General features: G+C 40.3%; 1 protein-coding gene and 1 pseudogene across 3 annotated transcripts in view, besides 2 other annotated features; one reads left to right on the plus strand and one right to left on the minus strand.

Moving 5' to 3' along the window:
• Positions 133 to 1,024: an enhancer, noted in NCBI's record as "H3K27ac hESC enhancer chr19:19887366-19888257 (GRCh37/hg19 assembly coordinates)". NCBI's record gives its function as "activates a minimal SCP1, AML or CMV promoter by ChIP-STARR-seq in naive and primed H9 embryonic stem cells {active_cell/tissue: H9 hESC(naive and primed)}" and the evidence as "EXISTENCE:reporter gene assay evidence [ECO:0000049][PMID:30033119]".
• Positions 137 to 506: an enhancer, noted in NCBI's record as "active region_14371". NCBI's record gives its function as "activates an Ori minimal core promoter by ATAC-STARR-seq in GM12878 lymphoblastoid cells {active_cell/tissue: GM12878}" and the evidence as "EXISTENCE:reporter gene assay evidence [ECO:0000049][PMID:35858748]".
• The window catches only part of ZNF56P (zinc finger protein 56, pseudogene), a 59,609-nt pseudogene continuing 31,925 nt past the window's right edge, over positions 150 to 27,833 (plus strand). Inside the window, exon 1 of the transcript NR_171023.1 lies at positions 150 to 570. The product of NR_171023.1 is annotated as a zinc finger protein 56, pseudogene (transcript). The remainder of the gene's footprint in view (positions 571 to 27,833) is intronic.
• The window catches only part of ZNF506 (zinc finger protein 506), a 29,040-nt gene continuing 17,493 nt past the window's right edge, over positions 16,287 to 27,833 (minus strand). For both annotated transcript variants that reach the window (NM_001145404.2, NM_001099269.3), the window contains one exon: positions 16,287 to 19,236. In NM_001145404.2, coding sequence (NP_001138876.1) covers positions 18,128 to 19,236 — 1,109 coding nt within the window. In that variant the 3' untranslated portion in view covers positions 16,287 to 18,127. The remainder of the gene's footprint in view (positions 19,237 to 27,833) is intronic.

A 27,833-nucleotide genomic window follows, 5' to 3' on the forward strand; every position in this document is an offset into this window, starting at 1 on the left:
CCTCCAGGGTTACGCACCACCCCGATGCATACTGGGATTGTAGTTCTGAAGCTACCTACCCATGGGCTGAGAGCAGTAAAGAGACTACAACTCCCAGCATACCAGGCGCGGCGCGCACCGCCCTGCCCCTTCCTCTGGGGTTGCGAACCGCCCCCGAGCCTGGTACAGGCTGGGATTGTAGTCCTGCAGCCTTGTGGCCGAAGGGCTGGGACTGGCCATGAGATTACATGTCCTAGCATGCTCAGCCAGGCGCGCGCAGCTCTGCCCCTTCCTCCAGTGATGCGCACAGTCCCTGATCCCTGTGCACGCTGGGATTGTAGTCCTGCAGCCCTGCGATCACTTGCAGGTAACAAGAAATTTCAGCTTCCGGCATGATGGGCGAAGGCCCCCACCTTCAGCCTCGCTCCTCCATGCCTTCAGAGCTGTTCCGCCATGCAGACGGGGAGCCTGCCTGTTCTTTAACCTCTCCTACCTGATGGGAGAGGACAAGCTACCAGGACAGCTTGTCTCACCAAGAAATTGTGATACCGCATCCCCCAACGTGCTGGCTTCCTGACTTCCAAAGTTGCGGTAAGTTTGATTTCTCACAGAACTGCAAGAGTCCGGGATCGTTTCCCAGCCTGCCCAAAGTTGCCATGGTTCTCACCCTCTGGGAGGTTGGCACACCCAGTGACACCTTGTGTCCCTTGAAACTAATCTGTGTCACCTTTTAGGCTTTTGAGACCACTTGAACTCTGACTTTGTGGCATTTATTACCAAATCTACTAAAATGGGTCAACTGTCAGATTTTAACTCCTTTTCCACACATGTTGGTTAGGTAATCTGTTGATTAGACATGGTTTTCTCCAAAAGGGGATTATCTCTTCCTGATTGCCTCCAAGAGAAGGATGAAACGATTGGGCGCTCTAAGGATCTATTTCCCAAATTTGAGATTCCACACTGATCATTCCTGGGCAAAATGTGTCTTTCTGTTCCATAACCACAATCTTAGGCCAGCCTGAGTGCCATCCCAGCCCAATGGGGGTTATGGAACTCCAACTTAGTTCTGTTTAAGTTTTATGTAAATATCCTTGTCTCTGTTTCACCTGGCTCTGTTAGATAAAATGTCTAGGAGAAAGTAGGAGGTGACAAGAATACAGGTGAAATCATAGGTACTGGAATGGGGCACACTGATTCTGTGGAAGCAGAGGGAGAACAACAACCTAAAACCCAGGGAATGAACAACTTAGACCTCAGGAGCTGTGGGGAATGGAGGGGCATTAATAACTTTTTGTCTTTCTGAATTACCCCTGGTGCAACCCAGAAAAGAGTCTGGGAATCTTGTTGGGCCAGGACAAAAGTAGTTTTAGTTAGACCAGAAGGTAAGGCACAAGCTGTGAATTCATCTCCTCCTTTGGCTCCCCACATTAACCTTAAGAATCCTTTGAGACTGTTCTGTCTCTCTGTGATGTAGGTGTGGAATTCTAGGGGGCAGCGTGCACTCTCAGTGCCCAGCTGTCTGAGACCACAGTTCCCTCAGATGATGAATGATATGGTTTGGCTGTATCCCCACCCAAATCTCATCTTGAATTGTAGCTCCCATAATTCCCGTGTGATATGAGAGGGACCTGGAGGGAGGTAATCGAATCACGGGTGTGCATCTTTCCCAAGCTGTTCTCGTGGTAGTGAATATATGTCACAAGATCTGATGATTTTATAGAGGGCAGTTCCCCTGCACATGCTCTCTTGCCTGCCACCGTGTAAGACATGACTTCGCTCATCCTTGCCTTCCTCCATGATTGTGAACCCCACTGCCCTGACCTACAGCCATGTGGAATTGTGAGTCAATTAAACCTCTTTCCTTTATAAATTACCCACTCTTGGGTATGTCTTTATTAGCAGCATGAGAACAGACTAATACAATGGAGAACCATCGCTTTTTTCTGAAGAGACTCAGTCCCCCATGGGTAAGCTTAAGCTGGACGCTAGGCAGCACTGATTATATTTTCTCCTTCTGTGAACTGGAGCTCCTCCTTCCATTTTCCTACCACCACTAATCTTTTTGGTCAATATTTGGATAAATTAGAGACATAGATAAGGGAATGTTAGCCCCAGCATAGCTAGACTCTTGCTTATTTCTCTTCCCGGTTTATGAAATCAATTATGTTGGCACAGAGAGATACCCTTAGATGGGGTCACTCAGGAGCAATTAGAGCAGTGTACTTCTAGAGAAGCTGATAGGACAGGGCAGATGTGCCAGTGAGGATCACAGCTTCTGTCTAAATTTTTGAGTCTATCTGTGTGTGGCAGATGAATTCAGGAAAGATCCCAGATCCCTGGAAAGGGACCATTAAGAGAGGATTCATGTAGATCAGAACACTAGGGCATGTGTTCATCAGTGACCTTCTAAGTCAGATTGACAGGGTTAAGTCTGTGGTAGGGCTACAGAGCAATGCTTGCCCATGAAAGCCTCTGATCATGTGTAAAATATGTGGTTCTGGCACGGGGAGACATCTTTATCTGACAGAACATTGTACTTCTGTGGATGTGGGATTCTTTGCTCTTCCTTAACAGTGCACCACTGACTGATTGTTTGAGAATCACGCATACATAGGCCTGTTTATTTTGAATTTCTTAAATATTGGAACAGGAAAAAACATTTTTATCCACTTTTTTTCTTTTTTTTGAGATGGAGTCTTGGTTTGTCTCCCAGGCTGGAGTCCAGTGGCGCAATCTCGGCTCACTGCAACCTCTGCCTCCCAGATTCAAGCGATTCTCCTGTCTCAGCCTCCCAAGTAGCTGGGATTACAGATGCGTGCCTCCATGCCCAGCTAATTTTTAGTAGAGACGGGGTTTCATGATGTTGGCCAGGCTGGTCTTGAACTCCTGACCTTGTGATCCACCTGCCTCGGCCTCCCAAAGTGCTGAGATTACAGGCGTGAGCCACCACGCCTGGCCTTTATTCACTTTCAAATTGAATAAGAGCATGAGCAACTTCAGGGAAAATGTCACGGGAGGAAACTCTGGGGCCCTGCCCATCCCCAGAAACCTCAGAAATCCTGATACAACCTGTAGAATTCACCTTATCAACACTGATTCATTTTTTTGTATAGATTTATCTTTCATTGGGCCTTTATTTTGTTCTATGTCATGAAGAACATGAAGAATAAGTCATTTCTTTCCTTTGTGGTAGGAACATCAATTTTTCACATGTCAAGTATTAATGATGCCATCCTCCACATAGTTTTTCTTGTTTATTAAATTTTTGGTTTGGTCTAAATATTTGTGTCCCCCTCCAAATTCATATGTGGATAGTATTAGGCATGCGACCTTTCGGGAAGTGACTAAGCCAAGAGAGCGCCATCTTCCTGAATGGAATAAGTGCCCTTTTTAATAACATTGAAGGGAGTGTCCTTGTCTTTCGCCATGTGAGGACACACCAAGAAGGTATCATCTATGAGGATCAGGGCTGTCATCAAACACCAAATTTGTTGGTGTCTTGATCTAGCACTTTCCAGCCTCCAGAATTGTGAGCAATAAATTTCTGTTGTTTTTACATTACCCAGCCTAAGGTATTTTGTTACAGCAGCCTGAATGGACTAAGACACTTTCTTAGGCACTTTAGTCTATTTCTGAATTTTTAGTTCCAATTATCTATTAGCTTTTATTTATTTATTTTTAGACAGAGTCTTGCTCTGTCACCCAGGCTGGAGTGCAGTGGCACAATCTCAGCTCACTGCAAGCTCCATCTCCCAGGTTTGCGCCATTCTCCTGCCTCATCCTCCCAAGTAGCTGGGACTACAGGTGCCCATCATCACGCCCAGCTAATTTTTTTTGTATTTTAGTAGAGATGGGGTTTCACCGTGTTAGCCAGGCTGGTCTCGATCTCCTGACCTCGTGATCCACCCACCTTGGCCTCCCAAAGTGCTGGGATTACAGGCCTGAGCCACCACGCCCAGCTGATCTATTAGCTTTTTTAATCAAGATTTTTCACAGGGCTGGACAATATTATCTGTTTTTTTTTTTTTTGTTTCCCCAGAGTTTTCTTGGCTCTTCTTGTCTTTTCATCTATATGCTGTTTTATTTTATGTATGTATGTATGTATGTATGTATGTATTTATTTTTGAGACAGAGTCTTGCTCTGTCGCCCAGGCTGGAGTGCGGTGGCACCAGCTTGGCTCACTGCAACCTCCACCTCACAGGTTCAAGCAATTCTCCTGCCTCAGCCTCCTGAATAGCTGGGATTACAGGCACCTGCCATCATGTCTGGCTAATTTTTGTATTTTCATAGAGACAGGGTTTCACCACGTTGGCCAGCCTGGTCTCAAACTCCTGACCTGAAGTGATCTGCCCACTTCAGCCTCCCAAAGTGCTGGGATTACAGGTGTGAGCCACCGCAGCCAGCCTATATGCTATTTTATAGTAAAATGCCTACCTCCAATATCTAATGGTATCTATATTAGAACAAAATTTATTTTATAAACTACCTTGAGGACAATTTATATTGATAGTATATTGTTTTTCGGTCTAAGAACATGTAATTTTTCTATTTGCTTATGTCTACATTCATATATTTTATGAATGTCGTATGTCTTTTCTCATTCTGTAAACCTTTGTGTAATATGGATTCCTAGTTTATTTTATTCCTCTAAAAAGTAATCTGAGACACAATAAAATTGTAAAGAGTTTATTTGAGTAACAGCAATTGATTAATTATAGGACACCAGTCTAAAAGAGGTTTAGGTTTCACTGACAGTGTAAGAGGCAACTATTTATTGGAAAAATGTAGAAACAAATTATTTGATTAGTGGTAGTTACAAACTTGTTTCTTCTTGGTTTTTTGTTTGTTTACCTTGTTGAAAAGTCCCTAGTTATATAAGGTTGTTGGCTACTTCTGATTGGTTGAGCTTCATTTCTGTTTTTCTTTAAAATAGGCAGCTATAAGAAATAATTCAAGTTAAGTTTAGCCAGGCATGGTGGCTTACGCCTGTAATCCCAACACCTTGGGAGGCGGAGGCAGGTAGATCACCTGAGGTCAGGAGTTCGAGACCAGCATGGCCAACATGGGGAAACCCTCATCTCTACTAAAAATACAAAAAAATTAGCTGAGCATGGTGGCAGGCGCCTGTAATCCCAGCTACTTAGGAGGCCCACAGTCTGGTTAAAACTCCAACTGCCATTTTTTCTCTTTCTGACACATAAAGTGTAAAGGGTTTTGTCAGGTCAGGTAGCCCCAGGGCTGGCGCCGACATGAGTTTTTCTTTTAACTCACGAAAAGCTCGTTGCTGTTGGTTGTAATAGATGTAGTTTATCCAATTTACATTTTTATTAACTGTCACCCACCAAAATATTGACTCGAATCCTGCAGCTATTTGATTTCAAGCTTTAAATTGATTTGGTATTCCCCATGGGACTCCAGTTGCATCTAAATAGACGTGAGAGTTGAAAGACCCATAAGGGGCTTCTCTCGCTTTACGATGTCTTATTTTTCTTCCCTCTGGTTGATGAAATGCCAGGGTGAAAGGGATAGCCAATTGGACTAAAGTACAAGTGCCACTCCAGTTATTGGCAGAATGCCCAGTAAAGGTCTACCACAATATCACCACACATTAGCTCGGGGATGAACAAGGGCTGATTGATAAGCTCTTGAAAATTCTTAAGCTCACTGCATCCCTTCAGGTCTCCAAGGAACGCTAAGTTTTTCTCCCTATCATGAGAGACACAAAGTGAACTTAGTGTTGGGAGATGGAGGCTGGATGGCCCTCGGGGACTGACCTGCAGGGTGCCGGACTTTGGGATATAGCAGGGAGAGCTTGGCACGACTTATTACTCCAGGCTGTAGAATCCTGAAAAAGAGCTACCATGCAGCCCATGCCTGGTCAACTGGAGGACTACCTTAGTGGAAAGGGGACAATCTGGGCCTCTGGCCTGCCATGTGCACAAGCATAACAATTGCTTTTGTTTAACGTGGGATGGAATATTTGATCCATTCCAACCAGGCATTTGCATGTTGGTATCCTGTCTTAATTGCCAAAGTTCGTTTTAAGTCTTTAACTTATATGATCCTCTAGTAAAATGAATGCATGATTTTAGGGAATTACAAAAACCATTTGGGGCAGTCCACACTTGCTCTTTAGTGGTCCACAGAATGTTGGACCAACTACAGCATAAAAGCTCTACGTTGGGGAGCAAGACTCCTGGTTGACACTGGAGTCTTTATCAAAATTTCCCCAGATTAAATAGTCCTAATTTACTAATGCCCAGTCTGAGGAGAGTCAGGGGGGACAGAGGTACTTTTCTGAAGTGGAGAGCTGTCTTTCACTTGAGAGTCCCCACAGGGTATAACAAGGCAAGCATTAAATGCAATAGTTTGAGGCAAAATTGACTTGGTTATGTTAATAACTAGATGGTCAGCAATAGAATGAGGAAAGAAGAAAGAGTAATAGAACAGATTTTGAAAGAGTTAAAAGTTTTCTTAGCTTTAGTTTGGTAGGGTTTTCCCCTGGGACTATGGCCCAAGACTCTGGAGGGGGCGGTGCTTTCTTGACTCAGTTGTGATGAGTCCATCCTTTTTCCATTGTACGAACAGCAGTCTCAGTGGTTAGCAGCACAAGGTAGGGGCCTTCCTAGCCTGGCTCCTTTCTTTTCACCTTTTGATGAGAATGTGATCTTTAGGCTGGTGCTGGTTTGCTGGAAATTCTAGGGGTGGTACATGTGCTAAAAGACTTGTAGTTTTGAGGTAAAGGAAAGTGGAAGATAAACCAAGTATATAATTTCTAAGAAACTGACCTTTTGTTTTAAATGTGGGGACATCAGCAGTGGACTTTATAGTCTTTGGTGCCTTTCTACTGAGAAATTTCTTTTAGCACCTGCTTTTATTAGTTTTTAGACCAAAGAAAGCCAAACACCATTATATATTTAATAATGCTTCTTGTATGATTTTTATACCAGATAAGCTAAATTTCACCATTATATTAGTGTGTTATTAATGTGAAACTTAATTTTAATAAAACCTTGTAGATATATTTATCCAATTTTTAATGTCAGACCATAAGGTAAGATTTTTATAGACTCTTTTTAACCTTTTATAATTTTTGTTAAAGAGTACGTTAGTGCTTTAAGAAAAACCCGTTGTGTTTTTATTTTAATGTCCAGTTCACAAAAAAACTGGATGATACCCCTTTAACTTTAGCTAATATGTTTACACACAGAATTTTCTTTAAAATTAATGTTTAAAAACTTGCTTAAACCTTCAAAACAATAATTTTTTTAACCTTTTAATGTAGGTAAAAATTTACATTCTTATGCCTCCTTATAATCCTTTTACCAAAGGTATATTTTACTTTCCTTATACACCTTGCACATAAACTGTTTTTTTCAATAGTTTTACATTCAGGAGGCCTAGCTACTTTTAAATTATACAACATTTCTTGCATAAATTCTTTTTTTATAACATTTTTCTCTTTCATGACTTTTGCAGACAATTCTTTGACGTGCCTCAACTTTCTGACTTATTACAAACCTTTCTTTCTTTAAACAACCAGTTTCTTTATTTCAGGACAAGAATTTACCATATAACACTCTTTTTACATAAATTCTTCCCCCACTTTTTTCCCTTTTTTTTCAAAGATGATAACCATTCTTTTCCAAAGTGAACTTCCTTTATGTCTGTGGACGAGACTGTCTAAGGCCACAAGATTAGAAGTTACTATAATACATGTTACACTGTTAACTTTTAGCAAACTTTACTTTTGTTGAAAACCTTGTAAGTTTGGGATTTTAATTATCCTTTGCCATTAATAAGACCTTGTTTTGTCCAAATTAATTTAGAATTGGTATAGATGGCTTTTTTTTTTTCCTTCAATTACCTGGGAGGAACGATTGATCCTCCTGTCCTGAAGGGAGTTCCTCCTAGGTCTGGTCGGACCTTTGTATGGTAATTAAGATTTAGATGCCCTGTTAGGAAAACTTCTGGGTTAAGGGAATTTTCAGTGGTTAATGTTAAATCACACTTTTTTTTTTTTTTCCTTAGGATACTTCTGAACTGGTGAGGTGTGCTCACAATGAGGTTTCCTCACAATGAGGTTTCCTCTAAAAGTTATTTTTTTACTTTCTTCTGTTAGCAAAGCAGTTGCCGCTACAGATTGAATGCATCTGGGCCATCTGCGGGTTACTGGGTTAAGGATTTTTGATAGGAAGGCTACGGGTTATCAGTGGCCTCAGTGCTTTCAGAATACGCCCTTGTTTACACTGACAACAAAGTGGTATTGGAGTCTTATAGGGTTATGGAGAATACCTTCAATTATCAATTATAGGTTTTAAATTTACCCTGGCTTTTAAAGGAATAGGGTACACTTTTTTCTTAACTACTTGTATATCTCTCTTTCTTTCTCTGATTTTCTTTTTCTCTTTGACTTTCCTTTTGCCTCTGTCTCTTTCTCTTTCTCTGCCTCTCTCTCTCTTTCCTTGACTCCCTCTTTATCTCTCTGTCTCTTCCTCTTTCTCTCTCTGCTGGTCTTTCCTTGCCTCTGCAAGCTTGCTTATGCTGCTGTTCTCTCAACCATTGTGGGGTGGGGGTCTAAAACCAGCTATAACCAAGTGTCCATGTACAGGAACTGGTCTGGGTGCCCTGGCTTACAGGTTACCTTGTGCCGTACCTTTGAAACAAGGGACCTGTCCAATCTTCCTTCTGATGGCCAACCCACCTCTAATGCTGGCCAGTCTATTTCACACAAAGTTCTAAGTTTTCCTGGTATCACAGTAACACTGTAATCTCCCTTAAATCCTTTCTTGAAAATTTTCAACATAGCTCCTACTGGGGCAGGCTTACTTTGTGCCTGACCCATGCTTCTTCAAGACAAAACACCACGCTCGCACCACACGCACACCACAAAACAAATAACGGGTAAAAAGGGCACACACATACTTTTACAGTTTACACCAAACCAGAATCAATACCAAAATCGGGGTATCTAGAAATCCAAGCAAGGTCAAAACCAAAACCAAAGTATCAAGCAATCCAAGTCAAGTCAAAAACAAAAACCAAAGTGCCGGTACAGGCACGCCATAGGTGATCAGGCCACACTTCCACTCAAATGGAGTGGGCAAGTTCCAAAGACTAGTCTTACCAAGTTTCAGATGTCCAGACTCCAAGTGCCAGTTCCTTCCCGGTGTTCAGTCACTGCATTGATCCTCCGCGGGGGCTGCCACACGCTGCTCTGGTGAGGCGTTCCACCAGGGAATTTGCTTACCCGGGAGCGCTCTCAGGATCCGCATCGCTCAAGCTGGCCGGAGTCCCCCGCAGGGATGCTCCACAGGGCAGGCCTAAGCCGCCTAACAGGCTGCCTCAACTGTCCGTTAATCACCTCGCTTCCCAGTCAGGGAACCAAGAAATGTAGCAGGACGAGCCGTAGACAAAACCCCTCAGACACCGAGTTAAAGAAGGAAGGGCTTTATTCGGCCGGGAGCATTGGCAAGACTCACGTCTCAAAAACTGAGCTCCCTGAGTGAGCAATTCCTATCCCTCTTAAGGGCTTACAACTCTAAGGGGGTTTGCATGAGAGGGTCGTGATCGATTGAGCAAGCAGGGAGTAAGTGACTGAAGGCTGCATGCACCAGTAATTAGAATGGAACAGAACAGGACAGGGATTTTCAAAGTGCTTTTCTATACAATGTCTGTAATCTGTAGATAACATAACCGATTAGGTCAGGGCTCGATCTTTAACTACCAGGCCCATGGTGTGGCGCTGGGCTGTCTGCCTGTGGATTTCATTTCTGCCTTTTAGTTTTTACTTCTTCTTTCTTTGGAAGCAGAAATTGGGCATAAGACAATATGAGGAGTGGTCTCCTCCCTTAGTGGCGCATGCCTGTAATCCCAGTTACTTGAGAGGCTGAGGCAGAAGAATCACTTGAACCTGGGAGGCGGAGGTTGCAGTGAGCCGAGATTGTACCATTGCACTCCAGCCTGGGCAACAAGTGCGAAACCCCATCACACACGCAAAAAAAGGAGGACACTATGGTAGGCTGCTTGGGAGTTAGGAGCTGTATCTGACATGAGGCCAGGAGAAGCCTTGGCAAAGCTCACATGACCTTCAAGCTCCTTTCACTCCAAAACATGAGCAAGGACTGTGCCGTTGCTTTCCATTCCTCAGGTGGGGACAAGAAGTGGAAACCTATGCAGACACTAGATAGGTTTTGTTTTACAGGCAAGGTAAGAAGAACTACAGAGGAAGAACCTAATGCAGACGTTTCCCAGGAGACTTTAACTGAAGTATCAGCAAACTGAAAGGTAACGAGAGAATCTTGTGCCTCTGAGGGTGTCTTTCCCATGGATCCCTGCTCAGTTGCCTTTCACGGGCCCCCTGATTTGCGTGAACTCCTGACCTCAGATGATCCGCCTGCCTTGGCCCTCCAAAGTGCTGGAATTATAGGCATGAGCCACCGTGCCTGGCCTGTTCCATGCATTAAAAAAAAATAAAAAAATTAAAAAAAATCAGTGAGAACAAGAAGAAATGTAAATGCTGGGCTTTTCATATAAATCCAGGGAATTATGGGACAGTTAGTACCCACCTCCCAGGGTATTATAAGGATAAATTCATGTCATCTTCCCAGCTCCGTAGCGTGCTTCTGAGCACACAGAGCATGCTCCATAAACATTGCATTAACGCATGTGTGCATGTTGTTTTCCAAATGCAGACTTACTCAGACATGAGCTGCCTTCTCCAGCCTCTGTAAAGTTTAAAGGACCAGCAGAGTGTGCCATGTTTTAGGATAGTGATTGGTGGTTTTTATTTTGGACTGAAAGCATTTATGTTGTGAGAAGAGTATAGGTTTAAGGAACTGTGTGCTGTGGCACTTTGTCTAGTTGAGTGCTGCTATAAGTGATCTAGGGCAAGTAGGGTCAGCATTAGCTGTGAATGAAGCCAATCCATGGACCCCTTTCAAACCTGCAGAATTGGCCAGGCATGGTGGCTCATGCCTGTAATCCCAGCACTTTGGGAGGCCGAGGCGGGTGGATCACTTGAGGTCAGGAGGTCGAGACCAGGCTGACCAACATGGAGAAACCCCGTCTCTACTAAAAAATACAAAATTAGCCGGATGTGGTGGCACATGCCTGTAATACCAGCTACTCGGGAGGCTGAGGAAGGAGAATTGCTTGAACCTGGGAGGTGGAGCTTGTGGTGAGCTGAGATTGCGTGCCATTGCACTCCAGCTTGGGCAAGAAGAGCGAAACTCCATCTCAAAAAAAAAAAAAAAAGAAAAAAAGAAAAAAAGGGAAAAAAGAAAACATTAAATGCAGCAAGATGCAGGTCAGAGCATACCTCCATTTGTGTGCTCTTGTGGACAAAATTTAAATGGCAAATAAGATTTTGCATTTATTGACGTTTTTCTTTACATTGCTGTAAGTACAAATACCCATTTATCCTTTGACCTCCTATATCTTTATTCTGTATGCATATGAAAAAAAATGCTAGATCTGTATCTAGATTATACATGGGTAAACACAACATATAGAATTATATGACTTTGCCTATGTAGATATTTATGTATACAATAGATATTAATCAACATTTTAAATTCCCCAGCCTACACTGCGGATGCAGATATAAACTTACTCTCACCTATATGGATCCATACCATCTCAGACTGGAAAACAGCCATACAAGGTTATGTTTAAACATCAATAAAGCTTCACATATAGGTGCATGGCCTGGGAAGTATGTTTTTGGTAAAGCCATCTTAGACTCTAGTTCCAGCTTAGCATTTCAGGGCCCTGCTTCCTTTCTCACTGTATGCCTGTGTGATTCACATTTGCCATTTGGGTCGATTGACTTATATCCATCTAAGCTGATCTAAGTGGTTTATTAAACTCATCTGGGCTGCAGAAGTTGAGAAGGAAAGCAACCTCTGACCTACTTATTCTGAGGCTTGTCTACAGGACATATGCAATAATGGGAATTACATTGACATACCTATGTTACCCATTTTCTGTTTTTTTTTTTGAGATGGAGTTTCACTCTTGTTGGCCAGGCTGGAGTGCAATGGTGCAATATCAGCTCACTGCAACCTCTGCCTCCTGGGTACAAGCGATTCTCCTACCTCAGCCTCCCGAATAGCTGGGATTACAGGCACCTGCCACCACACCTGGCTAATTTTTTGTATTTTTACTAGAGATGGGGTTTCACCATGTTGGCCAGGCTGGTCTCGAACTCCTGACCACAGGTGATCCACCCACCTCGGCCTCCCAAAGTGCTGGGATTACAGGCATGAGCCACCGTGCCTGGCCTTTCTGTGTATATGTTTATCTAGCCACCGATATCATATCTATATGTATAAAAAAGACCACCAAAGTGCTCAGAGGTGATTTTTATTTTCCATTCAGGCCAAGTAAATCCAATCAGCCATTAGCTCAGTGAAGATTTGTCAAATCCAAGCCACACACCAAATCACGTTATGCTAAATGTGAAAATGTCCTCATTACTGGGCACCAAGGTGTTTTAAATTCAGAGTCTAATCAAAACAGCTCATGGGGTTCTGTCCATCCAGCTAGGACGCTTCAGACATACCAGTGGGCCTAACCTTTTTCACAAGGAGCTCTGGCCTGGCCAACAAGAATCACCTTTGGTGCTTCAGTGCAGTGTCACCATCACCTGTTTGAAATGCAGCCAGGTAACATGTACCATTTTATTTGCTTTCAGTATCACAGTCTATCTTCTAATAAGAAACCTAGGCCTCTGGCTGGGTGTGGTGGCTTACACCTGTAACCCAGCACTTTGAGAGGCTGAGGTGGGTGGATCACTTGAGGTCAGGAGTTCGAGACCACCCTGGCCAACATGGTGAAACTCCCATCTCTACTAAAAATATTAAAATTAGCTGGGCATGGTGGCATGTGCCCTCTAATCCCAGGTACTAGGGAGGCTGAGGCAGGAGAATCACTTAAAACCGGGAGGCGGAGGTTGCAGTGAGCTGAGATGATGCCACTGCACTCCAGCCTGGGCAACAAGAGTGAAACTCCATCTCAAAAAAAAAAAAAAAAAGGATTTTTTTTTTTTTTTTTTTCTGTGCTGGGTTTACTTAGCATACCTTTCAGATTCATGAATGTTGCAAATAACAAGACTTTATTTTTAAGGGCTGAATGGCATTTCATTGTGTACATATACCACATTTTCTTTCTCCATTCACCTACTGATGAACACTCAGGTTGATTCCATACCTTAGTTATTATCAGTAATCCACTTCCTTCCCTTTCATTTGTGTTTGTTTTGTTTTGTTTGAGATGGAGTCTCATTCTGTCACCCAAGCTGGAGTGCAGTGGCGCGGTCTTGGCTAACAGCAACCTCCGCCTCCCAGGTTCAAGCAATTCTCCTGCCTCAGCCTCTCGAGTAGCTGGTATTACAGGCACGCACCACCACGCCCAGGTAATTTTGTATTTTTAGTAGACATGGGGTTTCTCCATGTTGGTAAGGCTGATCTCCAACTCCCGACCTCAGGTGATCCACCTGCCTCTGCCTCTCAAAGTGCTGGAATTACAGGCTTAAGCTACCATGCCTGGCCAAAAGCCTAGGTTTCTTTCTATGTAAGCCTAGGTTTATTTCTATGTGAAGTGTAAAAGAAATTTAAACTCATAGAAGCAGAGAGTACAATAATGAAAAAAAAAAAAAATCTCCTATGGGGTTTTTTGTCTGATTGAGAGCTTCTTCATGATCTTTCAGGGATTGTATTTTCTTTCATCTTCTGCATCCTCCTGTTTTTTAGCCAATGGATGAAAAAAAATACAGAGAAGACACATTTGCTTTTATCCACTGCACTTCCACTCACTATTAGTCATTGTGGATACAGCTGAGAATAGCAGTTTTCTGGCAGGACAGCCACTTCTCAGTAATAAACAACTGAAAAAGTATAAATGTGTCATAAAAAGCTAATAGATTTTAAGAAAAACAAGCATAGGCATCAATAATGTTTGTGGTAAATAAAGATTCATATTGTTGATTTCTATTGAGCTCCCGTAATATTTGATAAAAGCTTGCAAATATACAGCAGAAAAGGAGTATTATTCTAAATCAGAATATTGTTATGGCTATTTTGTCAATAGAAGTCAATATCCAATATACAGAATGGTTATTTTGTCAATGTAAGTAAAAATATGACTTCACACTAATAGTCTCACCAATAGTTGTAATCAAATGCTATTTTTTATTTAAAATTTTATTTCATATAAGTAATCCCAGGCGGGCGGATCATGAGGTCAAGAGATCGAGACCATCCTTGCCAACATGGTGACAGCCCATCCCTACTAAAAATACAAAAATTAGCTAAGCATGGTGGCACATGCCTGTAGTCCCAGCTATTCGGGAGGCTGAGGTAGGAGAACCACTCGATCCCGGGAGCTGAGATCACGCCACTGCACTCCAGCCTGGGGACAGAGCAAGACTCCATCTCAAAAAAAAAAAAAAAAAAGGTCTATATGTTTGCAGACAGACCAGATGTTCAAAGAAAACTATATAATAAACATTTACTAATAATTTTTCAGGATTCAGAAATACATGGATTCTATTTCTATTTCTTTGTTTTTTTTTGAAATAGAGTCTTGCTCTGTTGCCCAGACTGGAATGCAGTGGCGTGATCTCAGCTCACTGCAACCTCCACCTCCGGGGTTCAAGCGATTCTCTCCTGCCTCAGCCTCCAGGTGTGTGCCACCATGTCTGGCTAATTTTTGTGTTTTTAGTAGAGCTGGGTGTTGGGGTTCAATCAGGCTGGTGGGAAAAATATTTAAAAGAGTAACAGTCAAAAGCTGTCCTAAAAGGCCTGAGAGTTTGCATAGCTTGATTGCTTGGCTGAAGGCAGCCAGGGTCTCTTTGCAGGAGGCCAGGAAGATTAGGGTGCAAGTGAAAAGGAATGTAGGAAGTTTATCTTACTAACCTGTTTAGTTATATGGGCTTAAGACTAACTTTTGTCCTGCTGAGGGTACTTTACTGCCGCCTACTCGGGGGTCCGCAGTTTATTACCCACAAATGGTGTTTGCTTTAGGCCTGGGAACCTGGCCTTTAATTTTACCCTCTAGTGGTGTTTACTCACAACTTTTGTTAATTAGTCTTACTGAATAAATGCAAGCCTCACTATCTGATCAGAGCCAAGTTGCAACTGTTTACAGAACTCACCTTGGAGCCTGTAAGCGGCTCGGACCCTCAGCTGGACTGGCAGAGCAGAATGTGTGTCAGTGTACTTTATTCATCCACAGCGAGTGCCCCCGCGAAAGGAGCGCTTCCTCAGACGGGGTTTCACTATGTTGGCCAGGATGGTCTTGAACTCCTGACCTCAGACAATCCACCTGCCTTGGAAAGTGCTGGGATTACAGGCCTGAGCCACTGCACCTGGCCATATTTTATTTATTTTTCTGTATAATTTTTATTATGACCATAAAAATAAACCTGTAGTCAGTAACAATTTAATTGTACATTTTAAAATAATTAAAAATGTATAATTACACTGTAATTCAAAGGATAAATGCTAGAGGTGATGGATACTTTACCCTAATGTAATTACTACATATTGTAGGCCTGAATCAAAATATGCCATATAAGGCATAAAGATATACACATACTGTATACCCACAAATACTAGTAATAGATTTCAATAAGAAAAAAAATTTAAGCTATGGGAACAATTCAACTCATTTGCAGTTTAAAGCCACTGGCAAAGTGACAAGTAGAGATGTTATTCCACTACGTACCAAACAGTATATTGTTACCATCTTTTAAGTACACCCTTGATTAAGGTGGGATAGGTTAAAGTTAGTGGCATAATGGCCAGGTGCGGTGGCTCACGCCTGTAATCCCAGCACTTTGGGAGGCCGAGGTGGGCGGATCACAAGGTCAGGAGATTGACCATCCCGGCTAACACAGTGAAACCCCATCTCTACTAAAAATACAAAAAAATTAGCCGGGCATGGTGGCGGGTGCCTGTAGTCCCAGCTACTCAGGAAGCTGAGGCAGGAGAATGGTGTGAACCTGGGAGGTGGAGGTTGCAGTGAGCCGAGATCGTGCCACAGCACTCCAGCCTGGGTGAAAGACCGAGACTCCATCTCAAAAAAAAAGAAAAAAAGTTAGTGGCATAATAATGCTTCATTAAACGCAGAATAGTCTTAACATGGTATAAAAAATGAAATTAAGTTCACACATCATCTAACAATTTTTAAATATACTGCATTCGATTACATAAAAGTACAGTTAGTAAAATAATATTCTCATTTAATACTTTTAACTGTAATTTTTCTCACTATAATGTAGAAAACTATTACTCTGAACCCCCACTTTTTAAAAATCTTTATTAATAAAGTAATTCATTATAATTTTTGAAAAAAAAAGTTTTAAAATGGTCTGCCAACATGTTAATGTAGGTTAGGCCATCCAAAAGACAAAGCAAAACATCAACATTAAGTCATAGGCTAGGATTATACAAATGAGAACCCCCACCTTATACATTACTTAATATAAGTTAACTACAAAGAGCCTCTCCACTTACATTTTTATCATGCATCTTACATTTTAATGTCCTTATTCTTTTATAGAAAAGGTCATAATACCCAATAAAAAAGAATCTGTAATATCCCTGATGCAGCAACAATTGATCACATGCTTTCACATGTGACCACAATAGGAATAAAATAACAGCGTAAAGAAATTTGAAAGTTGTATTACATCATTATTCACTGTTCAAAAATTTTTTTCAAGAAACAAGTACACTTTCAATGAAATTACAATGCTTCAGAAAATCTCCCTTTTAAAGTTATATACAAAAACAGCTTTAGTTGTGGATTCATTTTTATACTCAATACTCTGATTTAGTGTAATGTCTGAAGTGTCAGTGCCTTATTCTAGTGTAAATTCTCATATTTACGTAAAATCAATTTTGAATTAAATATTTTTTTCATATTTACATCTGCAAAAATATACTTTAGTATAAACTCTCTGATGTTTTCTAAGCTATAGATTTTGAAAAAAAAAGTCTTTCCAAATTCATTATATTTGCAGGACTCTTCTCCAATATAAATTCCATGTTGTTGAATAAAGCTGGAGCAACTGCTTCAGGTTTTCCTCTAGTACACAATGTGTGCAACAAGATCTGTGATACAAGTAAAGGTACTACAACCCCCCCTTATATTTGTAATAGCTGATTTCAGAATAAATATTCTTCTTTAAAGGCTTATATTTTCTGAAAGATTTTTTGACAGTAATTGCACTTTTATTGCTTTTATTAACTATGAACCTTCTGTTGAGATGTGAGTGGGCGTTAATGGCGTTTCCATATTCTTTATATCTGTACGATTTTTCTCAAGGATAAAAGCTTTCCTGTGAAATAAGGTGTAAGCACTCAAAAGTTTTGCCACATTCTTCACACTTGTAGGAGTTTTGGCAGCATTAATTCTCTTACCTACAATCAAGTGTGGCAACCATATAAACGCTTTGTCTCATTTCATACATTTCCAGGGTTTCACATTAGTATAATTTATTTTTATGTATACAAAAGTTGGAGGTGGTGGTAAAAGCACTGTTGCATCTTTCAGGTTTGTAGAGTTCCTCTTCAGCATGAATTATCGCCATGTCTCTTAAGAATTGAGAACTTGTGGCTGGGCGTCGTGGCTCATGCCTGTCATCTCAGCACTTTAGGATGCCGAGGTGGGTGGACCATCTGAGGTCAGGAGTTGGAGACCAGTCTGGCAAACATGATGAAACCCCATCTCTACTAAAAATACAAAAATTAGCTGGGCATGGTGGTGGGCACCAGTAATCCCAGCTACTCGGGAGGCTGAGGCAGGAGAATGGCTTGATACCAGGAGGCAGAAGTTGCAGTGAGCTGAGATCGTGCCATTGCACTCCAGCCTGGGTGACAAGAGTGAAACTCCATCTCAAAAAACAAAAAGAGTTGACAGGTTGTTATAGGCTTTGCCATATTCTTCACACTTGTAGGGTTTCTGTCCAGTATAAATTATGTGTAATAAGGGTTGAGAACTTCCTTAAAAAGCTTTGTCACATTCTTTATATTTGTAGGGTTTATGTTCCATATAAATTCTCATATTTAGTCAGAGTCCAGGGCTAGTTAAAGGCTTTCCCACATTCATCACATTCATACGGTTTCTCTCCAGTATGAATTATCTTATGCTTATTAAGGGTTGAGGAACATTTAAAAGATTTTCCACATTCTTCACTATGCAGGGTTTCTGTCTAATATGAATTTTCTTATGTTTATTAAGGGCTGAGGACCAGTTAAAAGCTTTGCCACATTCTTCACATTTGTACGGTTTCTCTCCAGTATGAATTATCTTATGTTCAGTTAGAGTTGAGAATGCAGTAAAGGCTTTGCCACATTCTTCACACTTGTAGGGTTTCTCTCCAGTATGAGCTCTCTTATGTTTAGAGAGGCTTGAGTACCAGGTAAAGGTTTTGCCACATTCGTCACATTTGTAGGGTACATCTCCAGTATGAATTCTCTTATGTTTAGTAAGGTTTGAGGAACGGTTAAAAGCTTTGCCACATTCCTCACATTTGTAGGGTTTCTCTCCAGTATGAATTATCTCATGTTTAGTAAGGGTTGAGGATGAAATAAAGGCTTTGCCACATTTATCACACTTGTATGGTTTCTCTCCAGTATGAATTTTCTTATGTGAAAAAAGGGTTGCAGGGTGGTTAAAAGCTTTGCCACATTCTCTACATCTGTAGGGTTTCTCTCCAGTATGAATTATCTTATGTGTAGTAAGGTTACAGGACTGCTTATAGGCTTTGCCACATTCTTCACATTTGTAGGGTTTCTCTCCAGTATGAATTTTCTTATGTGTAGTAAGGTGTGAGGACTGCTTATAGGCTTTACCACATTCTTCACATTTATAGCGTTTCTCTCCAGCATCAATTTTCTTATATGTAGTACGGGTTGAAGACTGGTTAAAAGTTTTCCCATATTCTATACATTTAAAAGATTTTTTTCCAGTATCTCTTATCTTATGTTTGTTTGAATTTGAAAATTTATGCAAGAATTTCACATATTCATCACATTGAAATATTTTTCTCTGGGTAGTTGCCAAACATTGTTTAAGTCCATTATAACCTCTTTTGTGCACTGGACACTCATCTACACTTTCACAGCCTTTTTTTAACTGTAAATTGTCATGTCTACATTTTTCATATCTTCTTAGTATCACTTTTTGGAAAGAATCTTTTATGCTCTGCTCTGACCAAAGGTCTTGGGCAAAATGAGAATACATAACTGAAAGAAACAATAAAAACACATGACTTCAATTGCTAGACTCAGATAAATATACTTCACAAATCTAACCTATAAAATTATACAAACTACGTAAGCAAGATGACACAGCAAAATACCACAAGCTGTAATTTCTTCCTGGATATATAACTGTAACAAAAACATACTGACCAAAATACATTTGTAAAAAATTTATAAATTAGTTAAGTGTGTAAAGGGCTCCAGGTGAGCACAATGCAAAGAGCCACATAGAAAAATAGAAAAAAAGAAAAGTCTGTTACTTATACCCAACACAGCTCTTCCTGCTCTCCAGTATAACATTGTGCCTTTAAAAGTAAATTGCGGGCCCGGTGTGGTAGCTCACACCCGTGACCCCAGCACTCCGGGAGGCTGAGGCAGGTGGATCATGAGGTCAACAGTTCAAGACCAGCCTGGCAAAGATGGTGAAACCCCGTCTCTACAAAACTACAAAACGTTAGCCAGGTGTGGTAACAGATACCTGTAATCCAGTTACTTGGGAGGCTGAGGGAGGAGAATTGCTTGAACTGTGGAGGCAGAGATTGTAGTGAGCCAAGATCATGCCATTGTACTCCAGCCTAGGTAACAGAGTGAGACTCTGTCTCACACATGCACACAAATATGTAAATTGCCAACCCCTGGTTTCTTTTTTAAAAAACAAGAAAAGTATTGGCACATACATCTTTATTTCTGGATTCTAGGGGCTTTTTTATTTTTATTTTTTATTTTATTTATTTATTTATTTTGAGGTAGAGTCTCGCTCTGTCTCCCAGGCTGGAGTGCAGTGGCGCAATCTCGGCTCACTGCAAGCTCCGCCTCCCGGGTTCACGCCATTCTCCTGCCACAGCCTCCCAACTAGATGGGACTACAGGTGCCCGCCACCATGCCCGGCTAATTTTTTGTATTTTTAGTAGAGATGGAGTTTCACCGTGTTAGCCAGGATAGTCTCAATCTCCTGACCTCGTGATCCGCCCGCCTCGGCCTACCAAAGTGCTGGGATTACAGGCATGAACCACCGTGCCCGGCCTCTAGGGGCTTTTTAAAATACTGGTTAATGTCTCCCACGACATGAAATGGTAATATACGTTGGAATGACACTTTGAGTCTAAAGGTAAATGTTTCAGAAGCAAAGAAACTGCAGTATCCCAAACACGGAATGGGTGTAGCAAGTGATTACTGATTTATTAAGAAGAAATAAGAATAAGCCGATTTAACTAAACAACACAAAATTTTAGACAAGACACATCCTAAAAATATGTTTGAGAAATTCCAAGAATCGCTATCCAAGACGATTGATTTTCAGACTATGCGAGGACAGAGCTATATTATAAAAATCATAACAGGTAGCTTTTTGTTCATGTCCAAATCTCAAAGATTACAATGTATACAAAATATTAGGGCAACATGGCCCCATCAAAAAAATTATAAAATTTTCAAAAGCAACAATAAAAAGTGTATAATTTTTAAAATTCCAAATAAATTGAACAGGCCAGGCTTGGTGGCTCATTCCTGTAATCCCAACACACTGGGAGGCCAAGGTGGGGAAATCAGATGAGGTCAGGAGTTTGAGACCAGCCTGGCCAACATGGTGAAACCCTGTCTCTACTAAAAATACAAAAAATTAGCTAGCCGTGTTGACAGGCACCTGTAATCCCAGCTATTCAGGGGGCTGAGGCAGGAGTATTGCTTGAATGTGGGAGGCGGAGGTTGCAGTGAGCTGAGATTACGCCACTGCACTCCAGGGCGAGACTCCGTCTCAGGAAAAAAAAAAAAAAAAAAACAAATAAAATAAATTTAATTTTCACAAAGTGAAACAGGAACACAGACAACTACTGAAGATTAGAAAAACGAGGATAACAACGAAAAAATATTAAAATAGAAAACAAAAATTGTGGGTGTAAAAAATACAAAAACTAAGTGAAAAATTTCTTAAAAGAAAAAATTGTGTAAATAGGGCAAAGCTGAAAAGCTGAACAAACAAACTAGGATATACCCAAACATCTATTTATAACAAACACATATATAAACAAAATTCCAAAAATCACAGATAAGAAGAGAATTTTGGGAGCTGCAAGATAAAAATGATGGTCATTTATAAGCATAGTCTTATGAGATAACCAATAAATTGATCAAAAACATTTTTGTAGGTCAAAAGGAAACTGTGATATTGTTATTAAAGTTATAATAAAAAAAGATGTCAAGTGGGAATAGTACCATCACCAAAATTGTACTACCAAATAAAAAGAAGTCCTTCCAAAATAACCAAATCCTGAGAAAGTATATTGGCACTGCATATGCCCTACATATCAAGGATGCTGAAAGGAGTTTTTTTCCACAGAAAATAACATAATGCAAGAAAACAACACATAATCATCTGAAGATATGTAAGTTTCTGGAAAAGATAGGCACATTCATAAAAATGGAATTTCTTACTTAACTAATGTTAATTAGTTATGTTAATCATAATGGTACAGTTTAAAAGATAAAAGTATGGAAATTATGAACATCTGTTAATGAATAGACAACATAAAAAATATAATTAGTAAAATCAATAACAAATGTGAAGGTAGATGTAATAATGAGGAATTTCTGTATGCAACTGAAGTTAATTTTTTACTACATTAAAATATATTGTTGGATCTTTTAGAGGTTTTAGATAATCCCCCAAGGTACTACTAAGAAAATATCCGAGGCCAGGCACGGTGGCTCACGCCTGTAATCCCAGCACTTTGGGAGGCCGAGGCGGGCGGATCACAAGGTCAGGAGATGGAGACCATCCTGGCTAACACGGTGAAACCCCGTCTCTATTAAAAATACAAAAAAAAAAAAATTAGCCGGGTGTAGAGGTGGGCGCCGGTAGTTCCAGCTACTCGAGAGGCTGAGGCAGAAGAATGGTGTGAACCCGGGAGGCGGAGCTTACAGTGAGCCAAGATCGCGCCAGGGCACTCCAGCCTGGGCGACAGAGCGAGACTCCGTCTCAAAAAAAAAAAAAAAAAAAAAAGAAAATATCCGTATAGATACACAAAAGAAAATAAGAAAAAAGCTCAAAGCATGTCAACACAAAAATAAAAAAAACTTAAAAAGGAGAAATTAAGACACAAAGATACAAGAATCAAAACAATTATTTTATTAACAGTAAGTTTTTCTCTTTCAGAAAACTATTTAAATATAATTATCTTTCCAATCAAGAGACATACTTCTAAAAAGGCTCATTAAAAAATTTTAAAAATCAAGACTCAACTTGCCTTTTTACAAGAGTCAGCTGAGATCTAATGATAAGAAAAGACTGAAAGTGGCAAGACCAAGTAGAAATTTCATGTAAATACTAACAAAATGAGAGCAGAAGAGGTCAAAATAATATTACACAAGCTACATTGTTAAAGTCAAAAGCTGTCATATTTTATAAAATGTACTTTAAGTTAAAACTTCAAAAAAGAAGGACATTAAACAATATATAGATTAATTCATGGAAACCTATGACAAATTTGTTTATCCATGTGTGTATTTGTGCGTGTGTGTGTCTCAAATTGGGGTTTCAAATATATAAAGCAAATACTAACAAAGTTGAATAGAGCAATATAATTATAGTAGGATATTTCAATACCCCACTTTCTGTAATAATAATAAAACAAGACAGTATATTAGTAAGGGAACAGAGGACTAGAAGGCAGTAAAAAACAATTATTTCTAATGAAGGTATAGAGAACACTCCTCAACATCATCAGGATACATAGCCTTCTCAATAGCTCATAAAACATTCCTCTTTATAGACCACCTGTTAGGTCAAAAACAAAGTCTTAACACATTTTTTTAAACTAAAATTTCATAGATTACTTTCTATGACAAAAATGGAATTAGAGTATAAGACAATAATATAAATAATTGATAAATTTTCAAATATATAGAAATGATACAATACACTCTTGAGCATGCACTTGTTGAAATAAACTTGGCTGGGTGCGGTGGCTCATGCCTGTTACCCCAGCACTTTGGGAGGCCGAGGCGGGTGAATTTAACTCCATCTCAAAAACAATCAAAAAGGAAATAATTAATATTGTGAAGATGTCTATACCGCTCAATTTAACCTATAGATTTAATGCAATATTTTTCAAATTTCTCATTGTATTTTTGAAGAAATAAAAACAGCAAATCCAAAACTATATGGAATCTAAAAAGACAAAGTACCCAACAGTCTTCAAAAAAAAAAAAAAATGTTGGAGGCATTACAATTTCTGATTTCAAAACACATCAAAAAGCTACAGAATTAAAACAATTTGGTATGAGCATAAAGATGAAAAAGTAGACTAATAAAACAGAATGCAGCACATGTATTATATCACCTTTCACATAATTACTGCAGCATTGCTACCGAAAGCCAACAGGTAAAAGCAATGCAAATTTCTGTCACCAAATCAGTAGATATAAAAATACTGGCATATCACTCAGTTTTCAAAAAGAAAATATTCTAACAACTATTAAGATAAATATTGATGACATTATGCAAAATAAAACGAGCCAGCCACAAAAAGACAGAGACTGTATGAGATATATAAAGCAGTTATATGCTTAGAAACCGAAGAGTGGTGTTTTAAAAGTGCTAGGAAATGTGAAGAATTGGTAGTTGTTTAATGTGTATTGAGATTTAGCTTTGCAAGATAAAAATATTCTAGTGATATGTTGCATAATATGTCAACATAATTAATATAACTAAACAGAATATATATATATATATATATATTTATATATATTATTTTTTTTCGAGATGGAGTCTCACTCTGTCTCCGAGGCCGGAGTACAGTGGCAAGATATCGGCTCACTGCAATCTCCGCCTCCCAGGTTCAAGCAATTCCCCTGCGTCACCCTCCTGAGTAGCTGGGACTACAGGCATGCGCCACCATACCTGGCTAATTTTTTGTATTTTAGTAGAGACAGGGTTTCCCCATGTTGGCCAGGATAGTCTCCATCTCCTGACCTCATGATCCGCCTGCCTTGGCCTCCCGAAGTGCTGGGACTACAGGTGTGAGCCACTGCGCCTGGCCTAGAAATATTTTATTATAAATTTTCTTATGTGTTTTTGACAGATAACACATTTTGTTATGTGTTTCCCCCACACAAAAATAATATAGATTCATAAATAAATAGATGTTGAAATTAGGAGAATTTTTATGACTACTCACGTAGACAGGATTAAAAACCTGTTTCAGGCTGGGAGCGGTGGCTCGCACCTGTAATCCCAACACTAGGGGAGGCCGAGGCAGGCGGATCACCTGAGGTCAGGAGTTTGAGACCAGCCTGACCAACATGGTAAAACCCCGTCTCTACTAAAAATAGAAAATTAGCCAGGTATGGTGGCGCATGCCTATAGTCCCAGCTACTCAGGAGGGTGAGGCAGGAGAATCACTTGAACCCGGAAGGTGGAGGTTGCAGTAAGCTAAGATTATGCCATTGTACTCCAGCCTGGGCAACAAGAGCAAAACTCCCTTTTAAAAAAAATAAAAAAAGAAAAGAAAACAAAACAAAACAAAAAAAACCTGGCCGGGTGCCGTGGCTCACGCCCATAATCCCAGCCCTTTGGGAGGCCAAGGCGGGTGGATTGCCTGAGGTCAGGAGTTCAAGATCAGCCTGACAAACAAACATGGTGAAAACTCACCTCTACTAAAAATACAAAAATTAGCCAGGCATGGTGGTGCACACCTGTAGTTCCAGCTACTCAGAAAGCTAAGGCAGAAGAATCGCTTGAACCCAGGAGGTGGAGGTTGCAGTGAGCCAAAATCATGCCACTGCACTCCAACATGGGCAACAGAACGAGAATCCATCTCAAAAAAAAAAAAAGACGGGCATGGAGGCTTGAGCCTGTTTAATCCCAGCACTTTGGGAGGCTCAGGAGGGTAGATCACCTGAGGTCAAGAGTTTGAGATCAGCATGGCCAACATGGTGAAACCCCATCTCGACTAAAAATACACAAATTAGCCGGCTGTGGTGGCGGGTGCTTGTAGTCCCAGCTACTCGGGAGGCTGTGGCAGAAGAATCTCTTGTACCCAGGAGGCGGAGGTTGCAGTGAGCCGAGATCGCACCACTGCAATCCAGCCTGGGTGACAGAGTGAGACTCTGTCTCAAAAAAAAAAGAGAAACCTACTCTGAAAAAGCACACTAATGTGGAACTTCAAAACAATAATAAGAGAAATGTTTACTCATAAAATCTGGTATGCAACATTGATGTATCATTTAAACAAACATTGTTAGGCCAGCCAGGCGCAGTGGCTCACATCTGTAATCTCAGCACTATGGGAGGCCGAGGCGGGCAGATCACCTGAGGTCAGGAGTTCAAAGACCAGCCTGACCAACATGGTGAAACCCCATCTCTACTAAAAACAGAAAAATTAGCCGCGCATGGTGACACATGCCTGTAATTGCAGCTACTTGGGAGGCTGAGGCATGAGAACTGCTTGAAGCCAGGAGGTGGAGGTTGAGGTGAGCCAAGATCGCACCACTGCACTCCAGTCTGGGTGACAGAGAGTGACTCTATCTCAAAAAAAAAAAAAAAAAAAATTGTCTACGTAACTGCAATATTTAGCTGTTACTGTGTACTCATTAAATGCAGGTATTTTGAATCACTGGCATGCACTGTGTGGCAGTAAAATTTCAGAGAATATATGCAGTGTAATTATACACAGAAGATTCTGAGAAATTTTTAATAAATAACCATTTAAAAGAAACTAGTTACTTTTTATGTTTTAAATATCTTCTTACACAAAATGAAATTGCTATAATCCAACTTTAGAAGAAAAGAATAGACATATTGTTAAATAAAAAATATATATATTTTGCAGAATAGGGTTAGACCCTCTGATATGTAAAACAAGTATTAGGAAATAAACTACATTATTATTTAGATATAGGCTGAAGAAAGTTGATGAAAATTCTGTAATTCCCTTTTGCCTGCAGCAAACTTGAATTTACAAGTAACTATTTTAGTAAATATGGAGTACCTACTAATTATCCAATTTACTTCAGGCATACCATGCAAATTCTAGCACACTGTCCTAAATTTCTGAATCTAAAATTATGACAAATTTGAAATAGAAAACAGAAAGTAAAAATGTATAGGGAGAGTGACCTCACTAAGATGAAAAGATTAAAAGTCCCCTATTTTCATATCCTCTTACAGCAAAAAAAGGTTAGCTATCCCTGACAAAAATGCCTTTATGAGAAAACCAGGCATTATGGCTCACACCTGTAATGACAGCTTCATGGTACATTAAGGTAGGAGAACTGCTTCAGGCCAGGATTTTGAGACCAGTCTGCGTTATGTAGCAAGACCCCATCTCCAAAATAAGTGCCTGTAAGATTTGAGATCCAGGGAGGGAGTTGTGAAATGCTGTTAAAGCTTAAGATTGAGAAGTGTTCTATTCAGAAGGCAGGCCCTCATTCAGGTGGGAAACTACAAGACCCCTGGTTCTTGGCTACAGACCAGGATAGGGTTCACCCAACTTGGTCCCACTGAGAATTCTGAACTTACTCTCTAACTATCCGAAACTCCTCCCGGCCACAGTCTGGCAGAGGTCCTGCCATTCCAGAGACCTGGAGGAAGGTGCCCATTTACAGCCACGTAGGCAGGCCTGCAGACCTTGGCCTTTACTGTGGTCCCTGGAACAGTTCAATGACTCAGTTTCATTTACCTGTGCCACAGTTTATGGTCAGTTCTGCCTACATAGAAACCCACCCAGTTACCTGAGGAAATGCTCTCTGGTACACAGTGAAAGCCACACTCATCCACATCCTGATACAACGCCCACCATATGCAGAACCGTGTGCAAAAACATGTCCTAATGTCTGCCCTATGGAGCAAAGTCCTGAAGGATATGCAGTCTGTCCAAAAATAAAATGGGAATTACAACTACCCAAGTCCCTGTATCAAGCCAACTAAAGGTGAACCCTAGTGCAGACCCAGCAGCCTTGTGACCAAGCTACAACCCCTCTTCACTACAAATTCAGAGGGAATCTCATCACACTAAGGGCCCAATAAAAGATTTTTTACTTTCTAAAATTAGTTTATGAAAACTTGAAGAGGTGTTTTGTTTTCTCCATCAAATTCAGACACCAATACAAAACTATATTGCGCCCATTGTCAGTGCTTCTATTTTAATCTAGGACTGGAAGTATGTGGCAGAAGAATTAATGAAATAAATATATAAATCCATTGAAATAGAAAAATAAGTAAAATGCTGTTTGTAGATCATACAATCTTATTTTTAAAAAAACCAAACACAGTACTTTTACATTTGCTGAGGTGTGGTTTACTTCCAACTATATTGTCAATTTTGTCAATTTTGTCCATTCAGGACATAGGCATGGGCAAGGACTTCATGACTAAAACACCAAAAGCAACAAAAGCCAAAATAGACAAATGGGATCTAATAAAACTAAAGAGCTTCTGCACAGCAAAAGAAACAACCATCAGAATGAACAGGCAACCTACAGAATGGGAGAAAATTTTTGCAATCTACCCATCTGACAAAGGGCTAATATCCAGAATCTACAAAGAACTTAAACAAATTTACAAGAAAAAAAACAACCCCACC

Source organism: Homo sapiens, chromosome 19 (assembly GCF_000001405.40).
Source record: "Homo sapiens chromosome 19, GRCh38.p14 Primary Assembly".
NCBI lineage: Eukaryota > Metazoa > Chordata > Mammalia > Primates > Hominidae > Homo > Homo sapiens.